We start from the raw sequence: 26,650 nt of genomic DNA on the forward strand, positions 1-26,650 counted from the left end.
ACAGGACGACTGTAGTTCATTCAGGTAAGGGCAGCAAACTTTTAGTGCTAAGTGAAAGTTTCTCTTTTGGCATTATGAGAATCTTTAAAATGAGAAGTATTTTCTTTTTGTAAAAATGTAAATGTTTCCAGCTGGAATTAATTCTCAAAAGTACAGCACATGGTGCTGGGGCATTGGCTCCAAAAATCTGGTGGAAAAAGGAGTGAGTTTATGAAGGATGGGAAGAAACCTTCTTCTCTTTAAAAACAGTGGTAATGACAATGCTTTTTCCCTTGAAAAATGAAAACATTGTTTTACATGATTCTCAAAGCAATATTCTGCTTAGCTACGGGTTTTTGTTCATCTCATTTTAGGAAATTGAGTCTCAAAAGGCTAAGGGCTGCCCGAGGTTACACAGACTGGCAACCTACGGAGCTAGATTTTTAACTAAGTTTTCCTTTCAAAAGGCTTTCTTTTATTTTCATTTTTATTTATTTATTATTTTTTTGAGACGGAGTCTCATTCTATCACCCAGGCTGGAGTGCAATGGCGCGATCTCGGCTCACTGCAGCCTCTGCAGCCCGAGTTCAAGCGATTCTCCTGCCTCAGCCTCCCGAGTAGCTGGGACTACAGGCACACGCCGCCACGCCTGGCTAATTTTTTTGTATTTTAGTAGAGACGGGGTTTCACTGTGTTGCCCAGACCAGTCGTGAACTCCTGAACTCAGGCAATCCGCCCTCCTTGGCCTCCCAAAGTGCTGGGATTACAGGCATGAGCCACTGCGCCTGGTCCAAAAGCCTTTCTAGGCCACCATAAATGCCTCCCTTCACGCAAAAGGGGCCACGTTGTCCCTTGTAGAGCTTAAAGGAGAGCCGAGGTGTCTGCCTCCTGAAGTGTACACGTTACTGTTCCGTCGTATTTTGTAGTCTCTGTTCTGCCCTTTGGAACATCTCTTCGGTGTTCCTGTGGGATCTCTCTACTGCATTCTACTTTATGTAATAATCTGTTCAATAAATAATTTTTAAAAGGAGACAACAACGCCGCAGGTGATCTGGAGGCTCCTGGAGGACCTCAGCGACTCAGGTCCAGTCCAAGGAGGGCCGCAGATCAGGCTGAAGAAGGATGGATCCACATGCTTAGAGGAGATCGAGAAATGCAGGTTCGTTTGGGCCCATCTTACCCTTCTGTTCCAACGAGTTTAAAGAACCAGGATCCCCGAGAAATCTTGTCAGCTTGGCTAACCTCTATTTGAGAATAATTTTCCAGGGGAGGGATCATCACACTGCTTCTTTGCATAGAATGTCACGCTAGAAAACAATTCTTCTCATGACTGCAAGTCTGTTTAAATTCTTACTTTGGGCCAGGTACTTTGCATTGTTTGTTACCTTATTTCACCCTCCCAAACACTCAGCAAGACAGATATTATTTTTCTCCTTCTGTAGAGGAGAAAATGGAGACTCAGAGAGGTAAAGCATTCTTGCCAAGCTGCTAAGTGTTCTTGCTAAAATATGAGCATGGATCCACCTGGTTCCAGAGCCTACATTCCTTCCGCCATACCATATTGTCTCACTTCAGCTGTTACAGGATGGGCCTTCCAGGTTAGCAGCGTCAAGATAAAGGATAATTCTCTCTTTTGCTCATGACATTTCCAGCATGAGCTTCCTGGCTTCCCTGTTCTTAAGTACCCAACTTATTCTCCTGGGCTCTAGAAGAACCTGATCCTGAAAGGCATGAACATCTTAGACAAGTCTCAGCAAGCCGGCACCCCAGGATGCTCTGCGGGTGAACAACCCTGCTCACTGGACAGGAATAGGACCCTGGGACTGTGCTAAAATGGAATCCGATTTTCACTGGTGGATGCTTGGGGTTTCAAAGGCTTGTCCAAACTCTGGTGAAATGCCTTTTCTAGAGTTCATTGTAGCAATAAGTACAGAAAATTCTGAATCCCCACAGTGGTTTCCCCTGTGCTCAGTCAGTTGTTCCTCTATTTTGCTACCTGATAACCATTATTTCCTTCTTTCATGCTTTGGGTCCCTGCAGAAACAGCCATTGACCACATCAGTTACATTGCCAATGCCTCCAGAAGACTCCCTCACCGCTGCCTGCTGATTATGCCCACACCGCAGCTGCTGCTGCCCAAAATGACTGTCCCAAAGCTACTAATGTACAGGGCACTAATTTGTCTGGAAGGCTGGCTCCATGTTGCAGAGCTCCCAGCAAAGTCTTTCACCCTTGCCAATGCTGCTAGAACAGAGCTGCCACTTTGCACTCTTAATATCCAGGCAAATTTTAGTGAATTTCCCCCACTTTCTTTCTTTTTTTTCTTCTGTTATTTACATTCCCACACCATGCCTTTTGGGCAAGGACTTCTTAGGAGCTAAGCCAAATATCCAAGTGGCAGACATGGTGTGGTTCTCACAATCCCTTCTCCCTCTCCAACCCTGGACCTGTGTCCTCAAGTCATACTCTGGCACTTAGGATGAGTCTTTTCATAGGATTCCCCTTGATCCTTCACTCAACCTTAAAGGACTCACCTCTGTTATCCTGCAGACATGTCCAGATCAGCTGATTCCTAAGTGCACACAACATCTCTGGATATATACATATATACGTATATCCTCACAAAGTTAATTACATTTCATATTTCTGTTAGACAGTCAATAACATTCTCAATAGGCTTGTTTCCAATATCTTTGAATAATAATAGTTAATATGTATTTATCTCCTCCTATATACCAGGCACCGTATTGTTTTACGACATCATCTCATTCAATACTGTCAATATTCCCAGGTGGGAGGTGCTTCTGTTGTCTTCATTTTACAGATGAAGAAACAGATGCCTCAAGACACTAAATACCTACCCAAGATCACACACCGAGCATTATAGAGCTGTTTCTAACTCCAGCTGTCTGTCTCCAAAGCCTATAGGGTGCAGCACGTTCCTCTTTCATGACACTGGAAAGATGCCTATTATTATGGCTATGCATCAAGTCTGCAAGAGGATCTTCTAGATTGTTTAATTTTTTTTAATATTGCTTTTAAATGGGCATCATTGTGTCTACGTTTTTTCTAGGTTCAGCTTAGTCTAACTTGACTTACGTTCTTTTTCTGAACAACATTTTGTTAAAGAAAATATTTCATAAGGCAACTCACACAGTAACATTCTAAAAGATGTGGTCTTTCCAGGCTTTTCTATCCAACTTGCCCCCATTTTGATTAAATATGCTGGAAAAACTTCTTTGGATTAAAATTGCCCTTTTAAAAATCACAGACAAATCTGGGCAAATAGTAAAGCATTATTTCTCTTTCGATTACAGTAGAAACCCCGAGACAACTAGAACTGATTTGCTCAGGAGCCCTGTGGGGGACATTCATTTTGGGATTCAAAGGGGACTGCTGCCCCTCTTTAACCTGAGCAGGGAACAGGAAGTGCCGCCGCAGCTCCACTGCCCAGTTCTGCAAATCTTCTGGCTTGTTGTTTGGCGCTGGGTGTGTGTTAATCATTCACCTCAAGGATTTCTTAAAGAGTATTTATTCCCAAAATAGAGATGTGGAAGTCAGCCTATACCACTGGGCAATAATTCCATCTCCTGTAACTTTCCCATAGGAGTAAATCTAATCAATGTCACTGTTGTTGAAATTATAAAAGTGAACCAACTACAGAGTGGAATTTCCCCCCAACCGCTCCCTCCCTCTTGTTTTCGTGTACTTTGTAACCTGAGGAGAAGTTTCCATGAGGAAGCAGAGTTTATGTTGAAGTTACTGAGTGATGTATGGGAGATCTCAAACACAGAAACTGCCTTTAGACGTTAAAAAAGAATAAAACTCTGTTGTGCCCACGATGGACTTGTGCAAGTAGAATGCTCAATGTTTTCCTTTGCAGAAACATTGATCCCCTTACAGGAGGATCTTACAAGATACCCACTGTGCTCCATTCTCATGTCCCCATGGTCGTAGAGCTGCCTAAATAACATTGCCCAGGAGAGATTTTTATCCCTTGGCAATGATGCTCATTCATGATTGTGTGGGCAGCACACTTAGCTTTACTTGGGAAAAGATTTCCTAATGTAGTGTTGCCTGGCTAAATATAAGCTGTCTTTGCACACATGAAACTAAGTGGAGACTTGACTTAATGATCTCGTAACTCTGGTTAGTGCTTCAATTTAGAAAGAAAAGTGAGTGGGCTTTTCTTTAGTTTTGCAACAGTAATTTCTTAAAAGCCAAGAAACTTCACATTTGTAGTTATGCCTAGGATGAAAGTTGTTGAAGCTTCTATTCTTGATTCCACCTTTGTTCATGATTGCTTATTTTTAATCTTTTCCATCTAAACTGTATTCTGAAAATTAGTATAATCATGTGAACATTTCTGAACCACAACATTTAATAGAATTGAATCAAGAACAAAAAAGTTTCACCTAGCAGTTTTTTGACACTTGACAGATGATGTTTACATTTATTTACTGTCTGACAAAATTATCTGAAACCTAACTCAAGGTTTAATTTTCATTGGGGGCTTCACAATGAAAGGGTTGACAGCAGTGTCCTCATTCAATCCTCAGGCTCAGCCCTTTCCTCTCAGTGGACCTCAGTGGCACTGAATCAGGTTAATCAGAATCCTTGAGGCAGAACATAGCGCCTCTTTGGTCATTCATTCATTTATGTAGGTATCGTTTTTTATTTTTATTTTTTTTGAGACAGAGTTTCGCTCTTGTTGCCCAGGCTGAAGTTCAGTGGCGGATCTTGGCTCACTGCAACCTCCGCCTCCCAGGATCAAGCGATTCTCCTGCCTCAGCCTCCCAAGTAACTGGGATTACAGGCATGTGCCACCACCCCAGGCTAATTTTGTATTTTTAGTAGAGACGGAGTGTCTCCATGTTGATCAGGCTGGTCTCGAACTCCTGACCTCAGGTGATCCACCCACCTCAGCCTTCCAAAGTGCTGGGATTACAGACATGAGCTACTGCACCTGGCCATAGGTATCTACTTTTCAAAATTCAGTAAGCACCTGTAAATTCACCATCCAACCTGAAGGCTAGGACTTTGACAATTTCCATCTAGCTACATGGCTGTTCCCCTTCTAATCTTTCTGTTTCCCCATCCAAAGCAGCCACTATCCTGATTCACAGGTCTCTGGTTCCCTTACTTCCTTCGAATATAGTTAGCTCATCTATATGTATTCCTCAAAGTAAATATTTTTAGTTTAGATGCTTTTACTTAGGAACACCTATTATTTTACCAAAAGAGTACCCATAATAAAAAGGGCCTGTGCTATATGTAATATTCTGAGTCTTTTCTTCCTCCATTTAATAAAACTTTTAAAGATTAATCTTTTTTAAAAAAAGATTTAATTTTGAGGGTCTTGCTTTGGGTACTGGCTCTGAAACTTGCAGGGTGCATTGAATTCCACTTAATCTTTACCTTTGGAGCCGAACTGGTTACAAATTGAGAAGAAATTTTGATCATAAACACAGTCTACTTCTCTAGAGATCCCCGCATCCATTACACCTGGGACATTTTCTTTCTCTTATGTACAAGGTAGATTTGCGTAAAGGGGATTGGGGGCCTGCTAAGGTGGGATACTGAGTCCCTTGTTTGTCTTGAGTAGGCATCATATGCTGGGTTCAGTCTCTGACACAGGAAAATAAAGATAGCCTGAACAAATAGGTAAAGGCTAAAATCATCTAGAGCAATAATGACTAATTTGTTTAATTTGTTAGATTTTGCCTACTGGCATTTTTATTCTCAGGTGAATGGTTGTGTTATTAAGCGGTGGCTGTTGTTCCCTTTGGGAGCTATTAATTTTGTGGCAATGCTAGAAATACTACTAGCTAACAGTTACAGGTGCTCCAATGTTTCTGGCCTGGTGCTATGTGCTGTATGTGTAATCGCTCATTGCATCCTTCCCACAACCATACAAAGCTGAAGTAAGTGCTATGGTTACCCTCATTTACAGATGAGGAGTTTGAGTCACAGAGAGGCACTGAAAGTTTTGAACGCATGCTGAATTTGGTCAATGGAGAGGGTGGAACAGAAGAAAACGGAAACTAACATGTATTCAGGTCCTAGAACATGCTTGGCACATTATATAGTGTTTAAACCAAAAGAATACCTAGAGGAAGGAACTCTAACTCTAGACAGGACCAATAGGGTCCTGAGAAATCAAATTATGTGCTAAATATACTGAGCTAAAAAATGAAAGTAACAGAGAGAAATCCAGGATTCCTCAGAATCCGTCCATCTGAGATCAATAAGGGACCCAATTAACAGCCCCCCAGTACCCTGTGTGCAATTTCACCTTAACCATAAAGAGAAGAATGAAGTATCTGGTGTAATGGATTTCATCTTTATCCAAAATTGCTCATTTTTTATCTTTTCCATTTCCATTGTATTATGAAAATTAGTATAATCATGTGAACATTTCTGAACCACATCATTCAATAGAATTGAATCAAGAAAAATATTTCACCTAGCAGTTTTTGACATTTGACAGACGATGTTTACATTTATTAACTTTCTGAGAGAATTAACTGAAATAAATAAATCTAACTTAAGATGCAATTTTGAGGGTCTTGCTTTGGGTTTGCGGGGGTGGGCGTCCAGGAGTTGTTCTTGATTTTTACAGCAGACAATGCCTACAATTGTAAATTTCTCTTCTGTTTGAACCAAATTGTCTATAAAGTTTAACTAAGATTCATATTAGTTTCCTAGGCTGCTGTAATAAAGTACCGCAAGCTAGATGGCTTGAACGACAGAAGTTTACAATCTCACAATTCTGGAGTCTGGAAGTCCAAAATCAAGGTGTCAAGAGTTAGTTTCCCTGTGAGGGAAAGATCTCTTAAAGGCCTTTCCCCTTGGCTTGTAGATGGCCATCTTCTCCTTATTGTTTCTCCCGATGCATGTCTATTTCTGTGTCCAAGTTCCCCCTTTTTATAAGAACACCAGTTATATTGGACCAGAGCTCATCCTAATGGCCTCATTTTAACTTGATTCCATCTATAAAAACCCTATCTGTAAATAAAGTCACATTTCCAGGTACTGGGTGTTAAGACTCCAACATGTGTTTTGGGGGGCAGGGTCACAATTCAACCCATAACAGAATTTAATCTCAGACTCTTCAGAAATGAGATGTCGTGGGGCCCGTAGTGGGGCCATAAAGTATTTTCCTTGGCATTTAGTCTTGATCATCATGCTTGGTTGAGAACCAACCTTGGGTTGATGAATGAAAACAAGAAAAATCAGCACAGAATGAGGCTGACTCTAGATAGTGTAGCTTGTAATACTGACTGTTTCTTCTAGCTGAGAGGTACGCTGTATCTCTCCTACACGTGAGACCCCAGGAAGGAAAAGGACAGCTTGCCAGGTGTCCCCCTCCCGAGTTTCTAGCCCCATTGACTGTGGGCGACATCCCTGCACACTCTGGAGCAGTGCTGAAGTGAGTTTGTATTGTAATCGAAGGAGTTCTGCTGGTCTGCTGCTTAAGTAGGAAGGTTTGAATTGGTTTCTCTCCTTCTATTCCTCAGATCCCACACTGTAACTACTAGTTTCCAAACTGCTTATGTTTATCTTTTGAACAGGATATGCTGCACTTCCTCTTTTCTTAGAATGTTTTGCCTTCACATTTTACCTAGTTGGCATGTAAGAGAAAAGTAATTTTTAAATATTGTTTCTAATTTCTAAACAACTGCAAAAAAATTACAATGAATATTTTTACATATGTCTAGTGCATACATGTGAAAATTTAGAAGTGTGAGGTGTGTGCACGTGTGGGATCATTGGGTGGGAGATTATGTGCATATTCAGTAATACATGTGTCAAAAAGCTCTTCAAAGTGCTTGTGCCAATTTAAACTTCCCAAAGAACTATCTGAGAGTACCACTGTTCTACATCTTCAATAATACTTAATAATTTTTAAATGTTACCAAATGTTAAATTTTTAAATTCACATGAGTATTAATTATGTATCTTAATATGTATTTCCTTAAGTATTCATAAAGTTGAGAACGTTTTCATGCTATTAGCCAGTGGTTTTCTTCTTTTGTAAAGTGTTTATTCATACCCTTCACTCATATACACATGGTATTGTTTGCTTTTTGGTGTTATTCTATAGATGTTATTTGTAAGTTCTGAATACTAATTCTATAGCTATTAAATATCTAACATATATATTTTTACAGTGTAGTTTGTACACTCTGTTGTGATTTCTATTATATTGTGTTAATAAAACAAAATAGAGAAAAATAATTTTGATATTCATCTGATCTGCTGATGTGGGACATGAGGACAGAGGCAGACTCTAGGAGACACCTTTAGTACAGAGATATTCAGGTGCAGATTTATCTGAAATTATTTTCAGTGTTCAAGGACATGTGTTTTGTGTAATAAGATTCTGAAAGCTCACAAGGAAAAAGATAAGTAAGAAAGATCTTTGACGCCAAGGTGGTGGTAAATGTTGCATTGTTATCTCAGCTGATAACACTCTTGATGCTTATTATGGGATGTAGGCTATAATGGCAACGGAGTGAGTGAGCAACTGAGTAAATCAGAAAATGCTAAAATGATTTGGAGATTATTTTTTGCACACATACGTATGCCCACCTGTGCTTTTAGCAAGGAGAGAGGAGGAGACCAGGACAGTGACAGTGATAACAGAAACCCTTTAGACGTATTTCCAGGAGATTCATGGCCTGCTGTTAGAATGCACAAAGGTATAATTAAGTCAAAAAAATCTGCTGAGAATCTGCAACCCGGGAGGATCTCTGTTTATTTTTCCTCCAGGACCCAAGGAGCCATAGTTTTTTGTTTGTAAAACCACAGGATTCAATTGATCAGGTGTTAGTGTCCCTATTACTCTCATTCTTCCATCTTCCAACCATCCATGGCTGTCAGTCGTTACCCGAAGATACAACCCAGTAAATCCCGATTGGCCAAGAACCAGCCCATGCTTCTTTTTTCTCTCCAGACCTTTCCACTTTTATTAAGGCGGCTCATTTTAGAGTCTAGCTTTTCAGAATTGTCTTAGAGAAGGCAATGTGCAGGTTTTAGTCTTCCAGTTGTTTGTTTTAATGCAGTTAGCTAAAATAAGTACTTCTTTTTCATATAAAATACATATCAACACATAGTCTCCTGTTCAAAAAATGGTTTCTGTATCTATATAGGTATAGTTATAATTATTATTGCTTTCTAATAATAATGTAACCATCTTATAAAATATTTGAAAACACTCTGTAGAGTGTGAACTGATTCAGAAAGAGGCATATTGTTCTACTTTCTTTATCAACAAGGTAAAAATGTTTTGCTATTTACCCAATTTTCCAGCTTTTGATAGCTTTTTCTATCTTCCTATCTATCGAATTTCCCCAGAATCTCTGATAAGGCATAAGAGTATATAAAAGAGCCATGAGGTATAGAAAAAAATGCAGCGATGAGAAATAGTGATGTGTAACTAGCAGTATGCTAAATCGTGAGGATTTTTGTGATGTATTTCTGTAACTGTAATATGTTTATCCATCTTGTTTCCTTACACACATTCTAAGGAAGTTAAGAACTGTAATTTATTATGCATTAAGAAAATTGCCCATTATGGGTACAAAAAGAATGTACATGCATTTTCTTGTGTACGTTTTTATCTAACCAATAGAAAAGAACCTAATTTTGAAGCGGATTATATAATTTACAAATAAACTGTATATTAGATTTCCCTAAGGGGTACTTTTGAAAACAAACTCTGCTCCACTACAGATCCAGACACATAGCCCTGAAGAGGTATTAAAAAAAATTCAGTCTTAGCATAAGTTGTGATGAGCTGTAAATATTGAACAAAAGTAAAATTTCCAAATATACCAAATGTAGGAAAAGCATCACTAAATTCACAGAAGGAAAATATGTAAGGAGTTAGGAAAAGAATTAATATGCTCTTTTGAATGTCTTTGAATCAGGGATTGAAGTGGATTATGAATAATCCAGAATATTTACCTAGTAAAGGCAAAAAAAAGTTTTAGACCCACAGATTTCCTTGTATTTGGGATCAAATAATGCCCTACTGATTATACAATGATACCCAGTGCATCTCGTTGCTCAAAGGATCAACACAAGGTTCAAAGAAGTCATATCAAGTGTATGTTTTTAGAAATTGTGAAATCTAATAAAGCCTGAATTCATTACATAACAGCCTGAATTAGTTACATAATAAAAGTGAGAACAAATTTATAAAACAATTTATGTTTGTTTATATTCTGGATGTAATTCACACTTATATATTCACAACCAATACAGTGATAGGATCTTAAGGTTGTAGATGCATACTGTGAAGCCAGTCTCCCCTGACCCCTGCACATGATTCCTAAATCAGGTTACAATAAAATTGATTTGTAAACTATTTCCATAGTCCACTAATGGCAAATCTGGCATCGTTTGCTTTTTAGTGCTGTCTTTAAAGATACATAGGAGCAAGACACCTCTATGAAATGAGGTGCTACAAGAAGGAAATTTGGAGCTTGAAGAAAAGAAAGGTCTCCAGAAACTATAGCACGGACAAGACTGAAATTGTTTTAAAAATAGCTAATTCTTAAAAACTGAATCTAAACTCTGCTTGTGAAATGCTCCTTGGAGCAGTATAACAAGTAAAAGTCCAGTAAGACCACAAAGGTTCCAGCGAACACCACCAGGAAACTCCAGTGATAACCCCAAGCTTGTTGAACCTTGGCAGCTCCTGTGAAGGAGATCCCAGTCTACAGGAAGCTCTGCACATAGAATGAGACGGGCTTCACTGCATCTCTTACTCTTCTTGGGGTCCACTGTGGCTTCTAAACTAAAGGTGCACCTGAAGTAAGTTCTATGTGTATTTTGATAGGGATTAATTTAAAATAAACTCCAGAAGCATTAAAACAACCAGCACAGAAAGTTTGTCAATATCCCCGTTAATATCTGATTTTAAAGATTCAATTTCTTTTCTATGTTTACAGGCCAATTTTTAAATCTCTTTTTTTTTTTTTTTTTTTTTTTTTGAAAAGCAGGTTTCCTACCTTTGGCATGCAGCGTGTTTCTGATTGCCTTTTAGTGGGCATGTGCTTAGACCTCAAAACTCACTCTATGTGCAGAGCTTCCTGTAGATTGGGATCTCCTTCACAGAAATGCTGTGTCTCTCTGCGGATGCAGCACACAGGAAGAAGTCACCCACTCGCTACATACATCGCTAATTAGGACTTCAATAAAATACTGTGTTCACCTTGAGGTCCTAAATAAGATGTAGCTTCAAAGAATGTATAGTCAGCCATTTAAGAAAAAGAATCCCAGCGAATAAAACCTAACTTTGTAGCTATTATCTACTGTGGAAGCCTGAAGAAAAATTAAGGATATAAATTATTTTTTATGTTATTCTCTGTTCACTGAGATAAATATGAGAGGATAATTAAGTCAGTGAAATTTAAATAGTAACGGGAGGAAGAACAAGTAAGACTTGGAAAGAATATATTTGGCTTAATAGTCATGAAACTCAGGGCTTTCAGTCAAAAAGCCATATTTTTGGAGACTATTTAAGAAATAGCTGCGCCAGGCGCGGTGGCTCACGCCTGTAATCCCAGCACTTTGGGGGGCTGAGACGGGCGGATCACAAGGTCAGGAGATCGAGACCATCCTGGCTAACACAGTGAAACCCGTCTTTACTAAAAATACAAAAAAAAAAAAAAATTAGCCGGGCGTGGTGGCGGGCACTTGTAGTCCCAGCTACTCGAGAGGCTGAGGCAGGAGAATGGCGTGAAGCCGGGAGGCGGAGCTTGCAGTGAGCCGAGATCGCGCCGCTGCACTCCAGCCTGGGTGACAGAGCGAGACTCCATCTCAAAAAATTAAAATAAAAAAGAAATAGCGGCTCAGCTGACTTTATGGATGTTTTTCATACACTTATGATCTAAGGAAGAGGATGGACGAGATGACCGGAAGTTATTTCCAACCCTGTATGACAAGTAAGGTTTAGGTAGAGGTAAAATTTATAAGAAAACATTGTGGAAAATATAAACATATGCAAATGTCCAGCTGGCCCTGGTAACACTCATTAGTATGTTAAATATAAAACAAAATCATGCCTTACTATTGCTGATTTATTTTAATGGGACCACTCATGGATGATACATTACCGTAGAAGGTTACAATGGCTTGCTTTGCATGCAAAATTTAATACACTGTACATTGCCTAGGGAAAATCCAACCACAGTCAATCCCAACTGATTTTGATGTTGACATTATCATGTGAGTGGGTACACTGCACCTGCATATTTGAAATGAAGAGGGTTTGCCAAAAGAATCAGTGGATAACTGAACATGCTTTGAACTTTGAGATTGAAAAAGTTTTGAATTGTAGTGTTGCTTCTTTTTTTGAAGACTCACATATTCAAGCCAAATGTTAACATCATTATTCATTCAACAAGTATTTATTGATATATACTGTGTAGCAAACACATTTGTAGTGCTGGAGATTCAATGGTGAACAAACCAGGAAAAAAAAAATCCTTATTTTAGACTTACAGTTTAATTGGGAACTTGAATAACTGTGTGAGAAAATACATCCAATAAATAAGTAAACTAATAACATTTAATAACATTTTAGAATGAAGGAAATGAACAAGGAGATTTGATAGAGAGCAGTTGGGTGGGATTGAGGTAGGTGGAGTCAGAGGTTACCAGATACTATGGTTATGTCTGTCCTAGACCAGAAATCAGAAGGGCTAGATATTCACCCAACTTCTGCCACCAATCCAGCTGACTGGCCTTCGAAAAGGGACATCTGTAGACCGAGCTGGTCATTTAGACTACATAATTCCAGGAGCTTTTTACAGCCCATGGTAGGCAGAATGGACCCTCTAAAGCAGCAGTCCCCAACCTTTTTGGCACCAAGCACTGGTTTCATGGAAGACAGTTTTTCCACAGACCAGGAGAGCAGGATGGTTTCAAGATGATTCAAGCACATCCCATTTATTGTGCACTTTATTTCTATTATTATTACACTGTAACACATAATGAAATAATTATACAACTTGTCACAACATAGAATCAGTAGTAGCCCTGAGCTTATTTTCTTTTCTTTCTATTTTCTTTATTATACTATAAGTTCTAGGGTATATATGCACAACATGCAAGTTCGTTACATATGTATACGTGTGCCATGTTGGTGTGCTGCACCCATTAACTCATCATTTACATTAGATATATCTCTTAATGCTATCCCTCCCACCTCCCCCCACCCCAAAACAGGCCCCAGTGTGTGATGTTCTCCTTCCTGTGTCCAAGTGTTTTCATTGTTCAATTCCCACCTATGAGTGAGAACATGCAGTGTTTGGTTTTCTGTCCTTGCGATTGTTTGCTGAGAATGATGGTTTCCAGCTTCATCCATGTCCCTACAAAGGACATGAACTCATCATTTTTTATGGCTGCATAGTATTCCATGGTGTATATGTGACACGTTTTCTTAATCCAGTCTATCATTGATGGACATTTGGGTTGGTTCCAAGTCTTTGCTATTGTGAATAGTGCCGCAATAAACATACGTGTGCATGTGTCTTTATAGCAGCATGATTTATAATCCTTTGGGTATATACCCAGTAATGGGATGGCTGGGTCAAATGGTATTTCTAGTTCTAGATCCTTGAGGAATCACCACACTGCCTTCCACAATGGTTGAACTAGTTTACAGTCCCACCAGCAGTATAAAAGTGTTCCTATTTCTCCACATCCTCTCCAGCACCTGTTGTTTCCTGACTTTTTAATGATCGCCATTCTAACTGGTGTGAGATGGTATCTCATTGCGGTTTTGATTTGCATTTCTCTGATGGCCAGATGGTGAGCATTTTTTCATGTGTCTGTTGGTTGCATAAATGTCTTCTTTTAAGAAGTATCTGTTCATATCCTTTGCCCACTTTTTGATGGGGTTGTTTTTTTCTTGTAAATTTGTTTGAGTTCTTTGTAGATTTTGGATATTAGCCCTTTGTCAGATGAGTAGATTGCAAAAATTTTGTCCCATTCTGTAGGTTGCCTGTTCACTCTGATGGTAGTTTCTTTTGCTGTGCAGAAGCTCTTTAGTTTAATTAGATCCCATTTGTCAATTTTGGCTTTTGCTGCCATTGCTTTTGGTGTTTTAGACATGAAGTTCTTGCCCATGCCTATGTCCTGAATGGTAATGCCTAGGTTTTCTTCTAGGGTTTTTATGGTTTTAGGTCTAACATTTAAGTCTTTAATCCATCTTGAATTAATTTTTGTATAAGGTGTAAGGAATGGATCCAGTTTCAGCTTTCTACATATGGCTAGTCAGTTTTCCCAGCACCATTTATTAAATAGGGAATCCTTTCCCCATTTCTTGTTTTTGTCAGGTTTGTCAAAGATCAGATGGTTGTAGATGTGTGGTATTATTTCTGAGGGCTCTGTTCTGTTCCATTGGTCTATATCTCTGTTTTGGTAGCAGTACCATGCTGTTTTGGTTACTGCAGCCTTGTAGTATAGTTTGAAGTCAGGTAGTGTGATGCCTCCAGCTTTGTTCTTTTGGCTTAGGATTGACTTGGCAATGCGGGCTCTTTTTTGGTTCCATATGAACTTTAAAGTAGTTTTTTCCAATTCTGTGAAGAAAGTCATTGGTAGCTTGATGGGGATGGCATTGAATCTATAAATTACCTTGGGCAGTATGGACATTTTCACGATATTGATTCTTCCTGTCCATGACCATGGAATGTTCTTCCATTTGTTTATGCCCTGTTTTATTTCGTTGAGCAGTGGTTTGTAGTTCTCCTTGAAGAGGTCCTTCACATCCCTTGTAAGTTGGATTCCTAGGTATTTTATTCTCTTTGAAGCAATTGTGAATGAGAGTTCACTCACGATTTGGTTCTCTGTTTGTCTGTTATTGGTGTATAAGAATGCTTGTGATGTTTGCACATTGATTTTGTATCATGAGACTTTGCTGAAGTTGCTTATCAGCTTAAGATTTTGGGCTGAGACAATGGGGTTTTCTAGATATACAATCATGTCATCTGCAAACAGGGACAATTTGACTTCCTCTTTTCCTAATTGAATACCCTTTATTTCTTTCTCCTGCCTGCTTGTCCTGGCCAGAACTTCCAACACTATGTTGAATAGGAGTGGTGAGAGAGGGCATCCCTGTCTTGTGCCAGTTTTCAAAGGGAATGCTTCCAGTTTTTGCCCATTCAGTGTGATATTAATGGTGGGTTTGTCATAAATCGCTCTTATTATTTTGAGATACATCCCATCAATACCTAATTTACTGAGAGTTTTTAGTGTGAAGGGCTGTTGAATTTTGTCAAAGGCCTTTTCTGCATCTATTGAGATAATCATATGGTTTTTGTCTTTGGTTCTGTTTATATACTGGATTACGTTTATTGATTTGCGTATGTTGAACCAGGCTTGCATCCCAGGGATGAAGCCCACTTGATCATGGTGGATAAGCTTTTTGATGTGTTGCTGGATTCGATTTGCCAGTATTTTATTGAGGATTTTTGCATGAATGTTCATCAGGGATATTGGTCTAAAAGTCTCTTTTTTTGTTGTGTCTCTGCCAGGCTTTGGTATCAGGATGATGCTGGCCTCATAAAATGAGTTAGGGAGGATTCCTTCTTTTTCTATCAATTGGAATAGTTTCAGAAGGAATGGTACCAGCTCCTCCTTGTACCTCTGATAGAAATCGGCTGTGAATCCATCTGGTCCTGGACTTTTTTTGGTTGGTAGGCTATTAATTATTGCTGAGCTTATTTTCCTGCAACTAGATGGTCGCCTCTGTGGGTGATGGGAGACAGTGACAGATCATCAGGCATTAGATTCTCATAAGGAGCATGCAACTTAGATGCCTCGCATGCATAGTTCACAATAGGGTTCACGCTCCTGTGAGAATCTAATGCCAGGGCAGATCTGACAGGAGGTGGAGCTCAGGCAGTAACACTCATTTACCTGCCACCTACTGTGTGGCTAAGTTCCTCTCTTTTTTTTTTTTGGAGGCAGGGTCTTGCTCTGTCACCCAGGCTGGAATGCAGTGGCACAATCTCGGCTGGCTGCAACCTCTGATCCTCTGGGCTCAAGCGGTCCTCCCACCTCAGCCTCCTGAGTAGCTGGGACCACAGGGACGTGCCACCACCCAGCTGTAAATAAAGTGCACAATAAATGCAATGTGCTTTTTTGTATTTTTAGTAGAGACAAGGTTTGGCCATGTTGCCCAAGCTGATCTCAAACTGCTGAGCTTAAGCGATCCACCTGCCTTGGTCTCCCAAAGTGCTGGGATTACAGGCATGAGCCACTGTGCCTGGCTGCTGCCCGGTTTCTAGCTGCCTGGTACCAGTCTTTGGCCCAAGAGTTGGAGACCCTTCCTCTAAAGACTTCACATTCCAATCCTCAAAACCTGTGAATGTATTGTTAAATGGCAGAAAGAACTTTGCAGATCTGAGAATGGAGCGATTGTTCTGGATTAGCTAATTTAATCATGTGTCCTTAAAAGCAGAAAATGTTCTCTTCTGATTGCAGAAGAGAGATGCAGCAGAGAAATGCCACAGAAAGGGGAGCTGGAGAGAATCAAAGCATGAGAGGAATTCAACCTGCTGTCACTGGAAGGGGTCCAGATGGAACGCTTGAGAAGAAACGTGTGTAGCATCTAGGAGTAAAGACTCGCCCTGGCTGACAGCTAGTAAGGAAATGGGAACCTCAGTGCTGCAGCCTCAAAGAATTGACTTTAACCCACAGCCTGTGTGCACTTAGAAGCGGATGCATTCACAAATCTTCCAGAAGGGAATGGAGCCCCATTGACACCTTGATTTTAACCTTCTGAGATTCTAAGCAGGGAATCTAGATGAGACACGCTGTGAGATAATACATAGGTATTGTTTTAAGCTGCTAAATTTGTGGTAATTTCTTATGACAGCAATTTAAAAAACTGATACAAAGCCAGTAACCCAAATCCTGTAGTCTTCCATCCTTCACAATTTCCTACTGGCACCTCCACTCTGCAGTTCCAATCCATTTTACCTCCAAAGCATGGACTGACCCCATCTTCTCATCTCCCCAGAATTCTACTTCATCTATCATCTGGACCATCCCAAACTGTACCCCTGTTTTGTTTTGACTTTTGACTCTCAATCTGTTCTCCAAACCGTAGCCGATTATTTACTTTAAAAAGTATGTAATCATGACATTTCTTTGCACACAGTCTTTCAGTGTTTCCACATAAGCAAAGGATTCCAGTTCAGCCCCACTTTAACGCAAAGACATCCATGACAGATCCTATCTCCCCCTCCAGCCTTTTATAGCACTCTCTCTGCCTTCCTCTTTATGTGCCTATATGGAGAATTGTAACTTCCCTTCAGTACCACTCCTAGACCCAGGCGTGCAGGGTATCTGTGCTGAGCTTAGATCTTCAGAGGCCTCAGCTCTGGTGCTGCCTGGTCTTCCCACAGGTGAGGAATCTAGGTAGCTGAGCAGAAATCACCTGTAGCCCAAGTTTCCTTCTTGTGGACCATGCCTCAGATGTTTGGTATCCCGACTTCCCTGGACAAAGGACCCAAAACCCTTTCCAAAGCTGGCATGGGTTAATTTTCTGAATTTATGCTCTGAAGGATAGCACATGCCTCTGGGCAAGTGTGAGGTAGGCTGGCCAAGAGGCAAATGTTAGCAGTGTTGCCAAAAAGGAGGAGGTGGGCTGTGGAACCAGGGGTAAGAAAACAGGAAGATGGATGTCAGTCTGTTTAGGGGGTCCTATCACAAAATACCACAGACCGGGTGACTTAAATCACAGAAATTTATTTCTAACAGTTCTGAACGCTGCTAAGACAAAGATCAAGGTGCCAGCAGATCCGGTGTCTGGTGAGAACTTTCTTCCTGGTTTCCTCACATGGTGTTGTGGGTCGGGGAGGTGGGCAGAAAACTAAAACAAGGGTGTTAATCCCATCATGAGGGTTCCACCCTCATGACCCACTTACCTCCCAGAGACCCCATCCCAGATATCATTATACTGAGGATTAGAGTTTCTGCATGTGAATTTTGGAGGGACTCAAACTTTCAGCCCATAGCAGTAGACCATCGGTTAAGGGCTGTCTTTCCTTACCATCATATTTCTAGCCTGGAATTCCAATAAATTCTAAAATTCCAAATTAGAACCCAGCCTTCCAAGATGTTATGAAGATATATTTGTCAAGGTAGGAGCATAAACCTTGTTTTACATAGCAGGTGGTTAGCTTGATTTATAGTGTCTAACTATTTAGATGTAAGATATGCTACCTCCATTTGCACTTTTACCCCAGTCTCCACAAACGGTGGGGGTATGTTTCCCCCACATACCATGTCTTCATGTTGTTTCTTCCTGTGTTCCATGTTCTTCTCAATGCCTGGAAAGGTCTGCCCACCATTCTTCACCTGGCTAACTCTCACACATGGCTCAGGACTCAGGTTAGTGGTGGCCTCCCCCAGAAAGCCTTCAATGATTCTCCAGTGCCCCCTCCACTCAACATGCACGTATGTGAAATTATTAAAACACTCCCACACTGTAAGACAAAGAATAGAGACTACATTTTATCCATTTTGTTTCACTACCATGGTGTCTGGTGCATGGTGTGGGTTTAATTAAAGTTTATTGAACTGAATACTGAAAGCAAATGGTAAATGCTTCATTCAGAATATATTCAACAAGCATTTAAGGAATAATAGTACAAAGTGAAGAAGAAAATTACTGGGGGTGGGAGAGGACAGATGTGGCAGATCCCTTGTTCCAGGTCACACAATAGTAATAATCATTGCCATTTCTTGAACACTAACCATTTGCCAGAAACAGCACGAAGTATTTCACATGGGTTACATTTAATCCTTCCAACCCCAAGAGGTAGAAACTATTATATCTTCATTTTACAAATGAGAAAACTGAGGCTTACATAGGTTAAGTGATTTGCCTAAAGACTCAAAGACAGAAAGGGCTCCAAAGCCTCTGCTTTAACTATGGGAGCATGCTGCTTCCTGACACCTCCCATGCACAGAAAAGGGAGCTAGACCCTTGTCCTTTTTTTTTTTTTTTTTTAAAGAGAAGATACAAATGGTAATTCCCAAGGGCATGAGTAAATGTTAGTTGAAAGTTAATTGCATGTGCTTCAGAAATAAATGTGGGAACATCTGAAATGTGTAAATAACAATAAGATTGCAAAGTAAGGAGGACCATTTGGATTACAATAAGGAAATGATCATGTTCTCTGCTGACAGTGAGCTGGGGGTGTGTCCCAGAGGAAGTTGGGAGGTCTTGTCTGGAGGCCCGCGCTGCAGTCGACTGGAAAGTTCTTAACACAGGATGTGAGAAGGGAATGTATGGGGGCTGAATTGGTCTTCAAATCCAAAATGTAATACCAACACAAGTTTTACATTAAAATATTTAAAGATAGAAATTGTTCTTCCCAACAGTTTTTCATTTAAAAGAGGAGTTGCAGCATTTCCTCAAATGTTATTTAAGGCCATTTAAATGCCACCTAATTGGACTAAATTATTGTTTCTTAAGTTGAATTCAGGAAAGTAACTCTTTGCCATTTGTAAAAACTGCATTCAAGCCAAATAAGCAGTAAGATTGTAGCAGGAAAAAAAGAAACAAACCTCACCCACAAACTCTTGTACCAGAAATTTCTCTATTTTCTTATGACTGAACTTAATATTTATTTTCATTTCCTATTTGGCCAAATGGTTGGAAATTTGATCTCAGTCAAGACAATGTGGTCTCCTACCCCCACTTTCAGCTACTCCTTCCTTTCCTCGGGATTAGGTCTAAATATAGGGTGGCTTACATAGTGTAGAGGCATGGGCAGGGGCTGAAAGAAGGGCTGGCATCCACGCCTGCAGGACCTACAGTGATTGTTGTAGGTCTCAGCTGCCTCCCTCCTCAGCCACAGCCTCAGCCTCCTTCTGGCTCCTCCGCTTTTGTGCCATGTCCATCCTTCTTGGGTGCATGTCATCATTCCATTGCTTCTGTGCCAAGGAGTAGAACTGAGAACCTGACGAAACTGTCTGAGGCTCATTCACCCAGCCCTGCTTCTGCTCCCTGCCATGAAGGCTGGGGATGCTGAAGGCTCCCTCTGTCTCCAAGGGATGGGGACTTAGATCCTCTTTGCTCCTGGACCTTCCAACTGCATCCAGAGTTCTATGGCACCCTCTCCCCCTGGGTGTTTGGCTAAGAAGAAGCAGGTCACTGGCTCCCTTCTCAGAAACCAACAGTGTCTAAATTCTGCGTCTGCCTTTTGAACTTCTCCTTCCTCATCCCAGATAATCTTTCTCCAGCTTGAGGCAGGAATGCTTGCTCTTATCTCATCATGCATCGTTTCAAATCTCTTGTTTCATTCCAAGATCTAGGCTTATGCAACACCAAAGCCAGGAATAGACTCCTTTGACTTTGCAATTTTTTCTCTCCCTTGACAGCAGGTATAAGAAATTCCTTACCTTGGCTGAAGGGGCACCCATGGGGTGGAAGAAAGGGGATACGATAAAACTTATAAAACACTGCCACTACCATAGCTCAGAGAAAAGCACCAGATGAGGAATCAGGAGATTGGGAGTTTGCCATGTGATCATGTTACAGTAGGCAACTAGTCAGACATGAGCAGGGCAGAAGAGCCTCCCCCAACCCCACCAGGAATGTCAGGCAACCATCAGGTGATGGCCAGGAGGTTTTTAAACTATCTCTCTAAAGTAATAATGGGTTGCAGCCAGCGCCATGAAAAGACAGTCTCCCAACAGATAGAAAACACCTGAAGCTGGTGATCAGCGGCTTCCCGATAAGATCTCAGGAGTTGGGCAAGTGGGCTCAAGCATGCACACTAAGAGGTGTCCACTCACCCAACTGAGGCAAAATGGCCTCAGAGTTTAACTGGTATATGACCTTCCTTTAGGAACACTGGACTGGTAAGGGAAAACGCCTCAGGTGAGCATGCACACAACTTCAGTAAACACACTGCACACGCAGGCCCTCCCAAGCACTAGCAGGCCACTGCACATGCAGACAGCCAAAGGGAAGAATCAGGAGAGAAGGGCTGCAACCTCCCAAGAAGCATGCCAATGTGTAAAACCCCAGGTCAAAGGTCAAACTGTGCCCTTGATCTCTCAAGTCTCCCACTTGGCCCTCTTCCAAGTATATTTTGTATTTTTTTCTCTCTTGTTCTAAAGCTTTTTAATAACTTCTACTCCTGCCCTAAAACTTGCCTCAGTCTCTCACTCTGCTTTATGCACTTTGGTCAAATTATTTCTTCTGAGGAGGCAAGAACTGAGGTTGGTCTAGACCCATACAGATTTGCCACCGATAGCAATCATGGCCAAGTCATTTCCTCTCAGGAACTTGGTTTCTTCATCCATACGATCGGAGGTAAGAGTAGGCATTTTCCATCTTTTTTTTTTTTTTTTTTTTTTGACTCTAGAAATACTACTTTATCTGATTTTTAAAGAAGATTTCCATCTGGCTCTGGTGACTTTGAAACTCTGTGATCATATACGCGTGAGAAATAATGTGGGGCGCCATGATTTACTCTCCACTCCACACATTTACAGATCACAAAAATGAGATCCCTTGTAACCAGGTTCAGAATTATTTAATTGAGGTTAAGATCTAATTTTCATAGCTCAAAAAGTCATGTATGTAATGGATATGTCTCATGTCATTTAAAAGTTTTTCTCTAAAATTTGTGACTTGAAATATACAGGATTCTCATCACTCTCTTTCAATGTGTTCTAATTAGTAATAATATTTCTTATTTACTTTATGGATTTTTTAGTTTTGTTGTTATTAGAACCGAGAAAAAAATTGACAAGGTTAATGAGTACCTGATAGAGAGGTGTTTTACAAAATAATTACAATTATATTTTTACAAAAATTTGTAAAGTAGCTTATTTTCAGAAATTGTGGACTGTTTTAAATAAGGTTTTCAATTTTAAAAATAAATGACTTATAGTAAAACTTCATCAGATAAGGTCAAGTGTTCTTTTGACAATTTATTCCAAAATTCAGAGAGAAAAACACTCACTAAATAACATAATAAAAAAATAATGTCTGACTTCCAGGCCACCAAGAGAAGTAGAAATGAAGTTATAAATATCACACAATGCTCTAAATCAGTCTGGCAGAAAGTCTATTTTTGTCACCTGCTGGCTCCCTTGTTATTATTTTTTTCTTGCTAACATAGTTGATATGTTATATATAGCATACATGCTATAAAACACCAAGCCCATGTTTTCAGTTTTCAGACAGTATGAAGAGAAAATTCAAATGAGAATCTAATTTCAGCTTTGATGCCAGTTACTCTTGTGACTTTGAGGAAGTTCTTTAACTCTGTTTGTATTGAGTTTAAGAGAGGTGACTTCTAAGAGTTCTGCCAGCCTTAAAATTATTTGATTCTGTACATTTTTCCTTAGCTCTAAAATAGGGACAATAATATTTGTACTATCTCACAGTGTTGATAGGAGAATTAAGTTCTTTTACTCAATAGAATCTGTAATTTTGCATTTGTGTAATTATTTGCTTAATGCCTATCACCCCAGCAGGCTGTCAGCTCCGTGGGGATAGGGAGAGTGTCTGTCTGATGCACTGCTCTATTTCTAGTACCTAGCACAGTGCCAGGCACATCACAGAGGCTCAGTTTACATGTCTGGTGAATGAGAAGAATCAACCTAAGTATTCATTTATAGGGCATTGAAAACTGGCGAGCCTCGACCCTGCTTCCTCAGAAAAAAGTTATAGAAACGTGGCCATGTTTTGTATCAACCATTGATAAAAACTCAAATTCTTTTTCTCAAAGAGAAATAGCATAACTTAGTACTGCTCCAAGCATGGCCCACAGACAAGCCCCAACAGCATCAACTGAGTTCTGCCTAGAAATGCAGGTTGGGCGCCCGGGTTCATACCTGTCATCCTAGCACATTGGGAGGCTGAGGCAGGAGGATCTCTTGAGCTGAGGAGTTTAAGACCAGCCTAGCCAACATAGTGAGACCTCATCTCTACTAAAAATTAAAAAAAATTAGCTGGATGCGGTGGCGCATGCCTGTATTCCCAGCTACTCAGAAGGCTGAGGAGGAAGGATCACTTGAGGCTGGGAGGTCAAGGCTGCAGTAAGCCATGATCACTCCATTGCACTCCAGTCTGGGCGACAGAGTAAGACCCTGTCTCAAAAAACAAAAACAAAAATAAATGCAAATTCTCTTTCCCTATCTCAGAAGTACTAAAAGAAACTCCAGGGGCAGGGCTAGCGCTCTGTGTAAATGTTTACAAGCCCTCTCTGTGATTATGATGTACCCTCAAGTTTTTGAACCACTGTCTCGAACAATCTACTTATCTTCTTTACATACATATTATTTTACTTCTCTCAGTCCTAAATTAAGTTCTCTAGCTTCAGCTTGGAAAATAATAACAATTACATCATCAACAACAATAATAATAGCTAATACTTTTTGAGTACCTTCCTAGGCTCCAGACCTTGATTGTAATGCATAAGTCCCACACAAACTTATTGGGGTAACAAACATTATTCTATCTATTTTCTATACTACAAAACCAAGATTTTATTAAATTTTCCCATGGTCAATAAACTAGTGCTTCACATCTCAGTAGCCTGGTACTAGAGCTGGGCTTTTAACTACTATATGATACAGATTCTATGCTCAGCTCCTGGCTGAAGTTCTACCCGCTCCCTTATATTTTGGATCCCAGCTATATAATGAGGGGCACATATGAGCAAGTCTGTAAAGCTGACCTGACTCCGCATTCATGTGAAGAGTGAAACACCTTCCCAGGAGATGAGCCATGGGATACCTGACATCAAAGTCAGATTTTTCCTTAAGAATTATCTTTGGATCTTTTCTCATGAAAAGATGAAATTGTTTAGTGTTGTCTGCATAAACTCCAGTGAGTGCCAAAAACTGATTATTTTCAATTTGGCAGACTTAATACTAATCAGTCATTTCTGGAAACACTCAGACAATGGTATCCATTGTTTCTCGAGGTTTATTTTCTCCTTCATCAACCTCAAAAGAGAACTTAGAAAATGGAAGAAAGGAGTAAGTTGAGATGGGATGCAGGAGGAGAGGGGGAAGAGAAGAATGTGTGAGAGGAGAAGAAAAAAAGTCAGAGATTGATTTTTTATCCTGCCTTCCATCATTGGTGTAGGAAGTGTCACTGTGAGGAATCAGGAGTGGGGAGGTAGGCTGAGACCTACCTGGTCAGGGTGTCATGGCAATGAGTGAAGCAGAGATGTGAAGGTTGCCTGAAACTGTATGTGTGGACCTAGGGACAACTTAGGACTTACCTACTATACCTGGTGTAGGAAATCAGAGGCTAAATGTTGCATGTGCCTAGCATGACTGATATTGAAAAAGAATCAATGAAGGCAGCAGATAGACTGTGGTCAGAGGCAACCGCTAATAGAGCTCCCAAAGAGAAACTGTGCTAATGGAGTTGGCTCCCATGGGCTTTCAAGGAAGACTGTCCTGGGGACTTGCCTTTCCAGCACCAGTCAAGCTGGTTTCTTTTAGGGGCCCAGTCAACAGCAGTGAGAAAGCAACTACTATTGACTGAGTGCCTACCATGCCAGGCAGTTTGCTACTCATTTTATGGACACTAATCCAGTTGAACTTCCCAAAACATCTGGAAAGTGGCATTATAGTCCCCATTTTACACCAGAGGACACCAACGTTCCACAATATTAATTAACTTGTCTAAGAGCATCAATTGGTAAGTAGTAGAGCCATTCAACTTTTTCTGGTTGTTGTTTTTTTTTTCCTATCAGACTCTACCTCTTAGAATGGTGGGAGGGAGAGAGGAGAAGAGGGAATTTTAGGAAACAGTGCCAGCTACTAAGGCTAAATGGGAAACGCTCGAGTGAGACTGGACTCCTCCTCAGTTATTTGAGTTATTGCTCTTTCAAGTTATATTTTTGGGATCTTGATTAGGTCCCTGGTTGAAGTTATCAAAAAAGTAGCCCATGAATTCAAAACATTAGGCTTCATCAGTGTATATGAGGGAATCCTCTTTTGTTTATAAAACTGATCAGTGTTTCCCAAGATCATCAGTCTTGGGGTAAAAATGAGACTATACTGTTAGTATAAATAACTCTTGGCTGGGTGCAGTGGCTCACACCTGTAATCCCAGCACTTTGGGAGGCTGAGGCAGGCATATCACTTGAGGTCAGGAGTTCAAGACCAGCCTGGCCAAATTAGCAAAATCCCATCTCTACTAAAAATACAAAAATTAGCTGGGCATGGTGGCACGTACCTGTAATCCCAGCTACTCGGGAGGCTGAGGTAGGAGAATCACTTGAACCTGGGGGGCGGAGGTTGCAGTAGCACCACTGCACTCTAGCCTGGGTGACAGAGCAAGACTCTGTCTCAAAACAACAACAACAAAAAAATAAAAACAAAAAAACTTTTGACTGTCATACTATTCATGTACTGTTATAAGCCTTACTATAGTTTGAATGTTTGTCCTCCAAATCTCATGTTGAAATTTGATCCCCAAGAAAGGGGAGCCAAGATGGCCGAATAGGAACAGCTCTGGTCTACAGCTCCCAGCCTAAGCGACACAGAAGACGGTGATTTCTGCATTTCCATCTGAGGTACCGGGTTCATCTCACTAGGGAGTGCCAGACAGTGGGTGCCGGTCAGTGGGCGCGCGCACCGTGCACGAGCCGAAGCAGGGCAAGGCATTGCCTCACCTGGGAAGCTCAAGGGGTCAGGGAGTTCCCTTTCCGAGTCAAAGAAAGGGGTGACGGACGGCACCTGGAAAATCGAGTCACTCCCACCCGAATACTGCGCTTTTCCGACGGGCTTAAAAAACGGCGCACCACGAGATTGTATCCCGCACCTGGCTTGGAGGGTCCTATGCCCACAGAGTCTCGCTGATTGCTAGCACAGCAGTCTGAGATCAAACTGCAAGGCAGCAGCGGCAGCGAGGCTGGGGGAGGGGCGCCCGCCATTGCCCAGGCTTGATTAGGTAAACAAAGCAGCCAGGAAGCTCGAACTGGGTGGAGTCCACCACAGCTCAAGGAGGCCTGGCTGCCTCTGTAGGCTCCACCTCTGGGGGCAGGGCACAGACAAACAAAAAGACAGCAGTAACCTCTGCAGACTTAAATGTCCCTGTCTGACAGCTTTGAAGAGAGCAGTGGTTCTCCCAGCACGCAGCTGGAGATCTGAGAACGGGCAGACTGCCTCCTCAAGTGGGTCCCTGACCCCTGACCCCTGAGCAGCCTAACTGGGAGGCACCCCCCAGCAGGGGCACACTGACACCTCACACGGCAGGGTATTCCAACAGACCTGCAGCTGAGGGTCCTGTTAGAAGGAAAACTAACAAACAGAAAGGACATCCACACCAAAAACCCATCTGTACATCACCATCATCAAAGACCAAAAGTAGATAAAACCACAAAGATGGGGAAAAAACAGAACAGAAAAACTGGAAACTCTAAAAAGCAGAGCGCCTCTCCTCCTCCAAAGGAACGCAGTTCCTCACCAGCAACGGAACAAAGCTGGATGGAGAATGACTTTGACGAGCTGAGAGAAGAAGGCTTCAGACGATCAAATTACTCTGAGCTACGGGAGGACATTCAAACCAAAGGCAAAGAAGTTGAAAACTTTGAAAAAAATTTAGAAGAATGTATAACTAGAATAACCAATACAGAGAAGTGCTTAAAGGAGCTGA

The 26,650-nt window shown here is 40.9% G+C and overlaps 2 long non-coding RNA genes across 14 annotated transcripts in view, besides 2 other annotated features; one reads left to right on the forward strand and one right to left on the reverse strand.

The window, feature by feature from the left end:
* The window catches only part of LOC105370256 (uncharacterized), a 42,020-nt gene extending 22,644 nt beyond the window's left edge, over nucleotides 1-19,376 (forward strand). For 4 of the 13 annotated variants that reach the window (XR_942064.1, XR_942067.1, XR_942066.1 and 1 more), the window contains 3 exons: nucleotides 5-24; nucleotides 1,008-1,138; nucleotides 16,483-19,376. This is a non-coding gene — a long non-coding RNA (uncharacterized LOC105370256). Of the gene's footprint in view, nucleotides 1-4; nucleotides 25-1,007; nucleotides 1,139-2,019; nucleotides 3,822-7,275; nucleotides 8,145-10,400; nucleotides 10,804-16,482 lie in introns of those variants that run through there. The other 9 variants (XR_001749901.2, XR_001749903.2, XR_942075.3 and 6 more) reach the window with 6 other exon arrangements.
* The window catches only part of LINC00393 (long intergenic non-protein coding RNA 393), a 116,003-nt gene that overhangs the window by 69,144 nt on the left and 20,209 nt on the right, over nucleotides 1-26,650 (reverse strand). The window lies entirely within an intron of this gene.
* Nucleotides 25,086-25,727: an enhancer, noted in NCBI's record as "NANOG-H3K27ac-H3K4me1 hESC enhancer chr13:74214267-74214908 (GRCh37/hg19 assembly coordinates)". NCBI's record gives its function as "activates a minimal SCP1, AML or CMV promoter by ChIP-STARR-seq in primed H9 embryonic stem cells {active_cell/tissue: H9 hESC(primed)}" and the evidence as "EXISTENCE:reporter gene assay evidence [ECO:0000049][PMID:30033119]".
* Nucleotides 25,728-26,369: an enhancer, noted in NCBI's record as "NANOG-H3K27ac-H3K4me1 hESC enhancer chr13:74214909-74215550 (GRCh37/hg19 assembly coordinates)". NCBI's record gives its function as "activates a minimal SCP1, AML or CMV promoter by ChIP-STARR-seq in primed H9 embryonic stem cells {active_cell/tissue: H9 hESC(primed)}" and the evidence as "EXISTENCE:reporter gene assay evidence [ECO:0000049][PMID:30033119]".

The sequence above is a fragment of the Homo sapiens genome, chromosome 13, assembly GCF_000001405.40.
Source record: "Homo sapiens chromosome 13, GRCh38.p14 Primary Assembly".
Classification (NCBI taxonomy): Eukaryota; Metazoa; Chordata; class Mammalia; order Primates; family Hominidae; genus Homo; species Homo sapiens.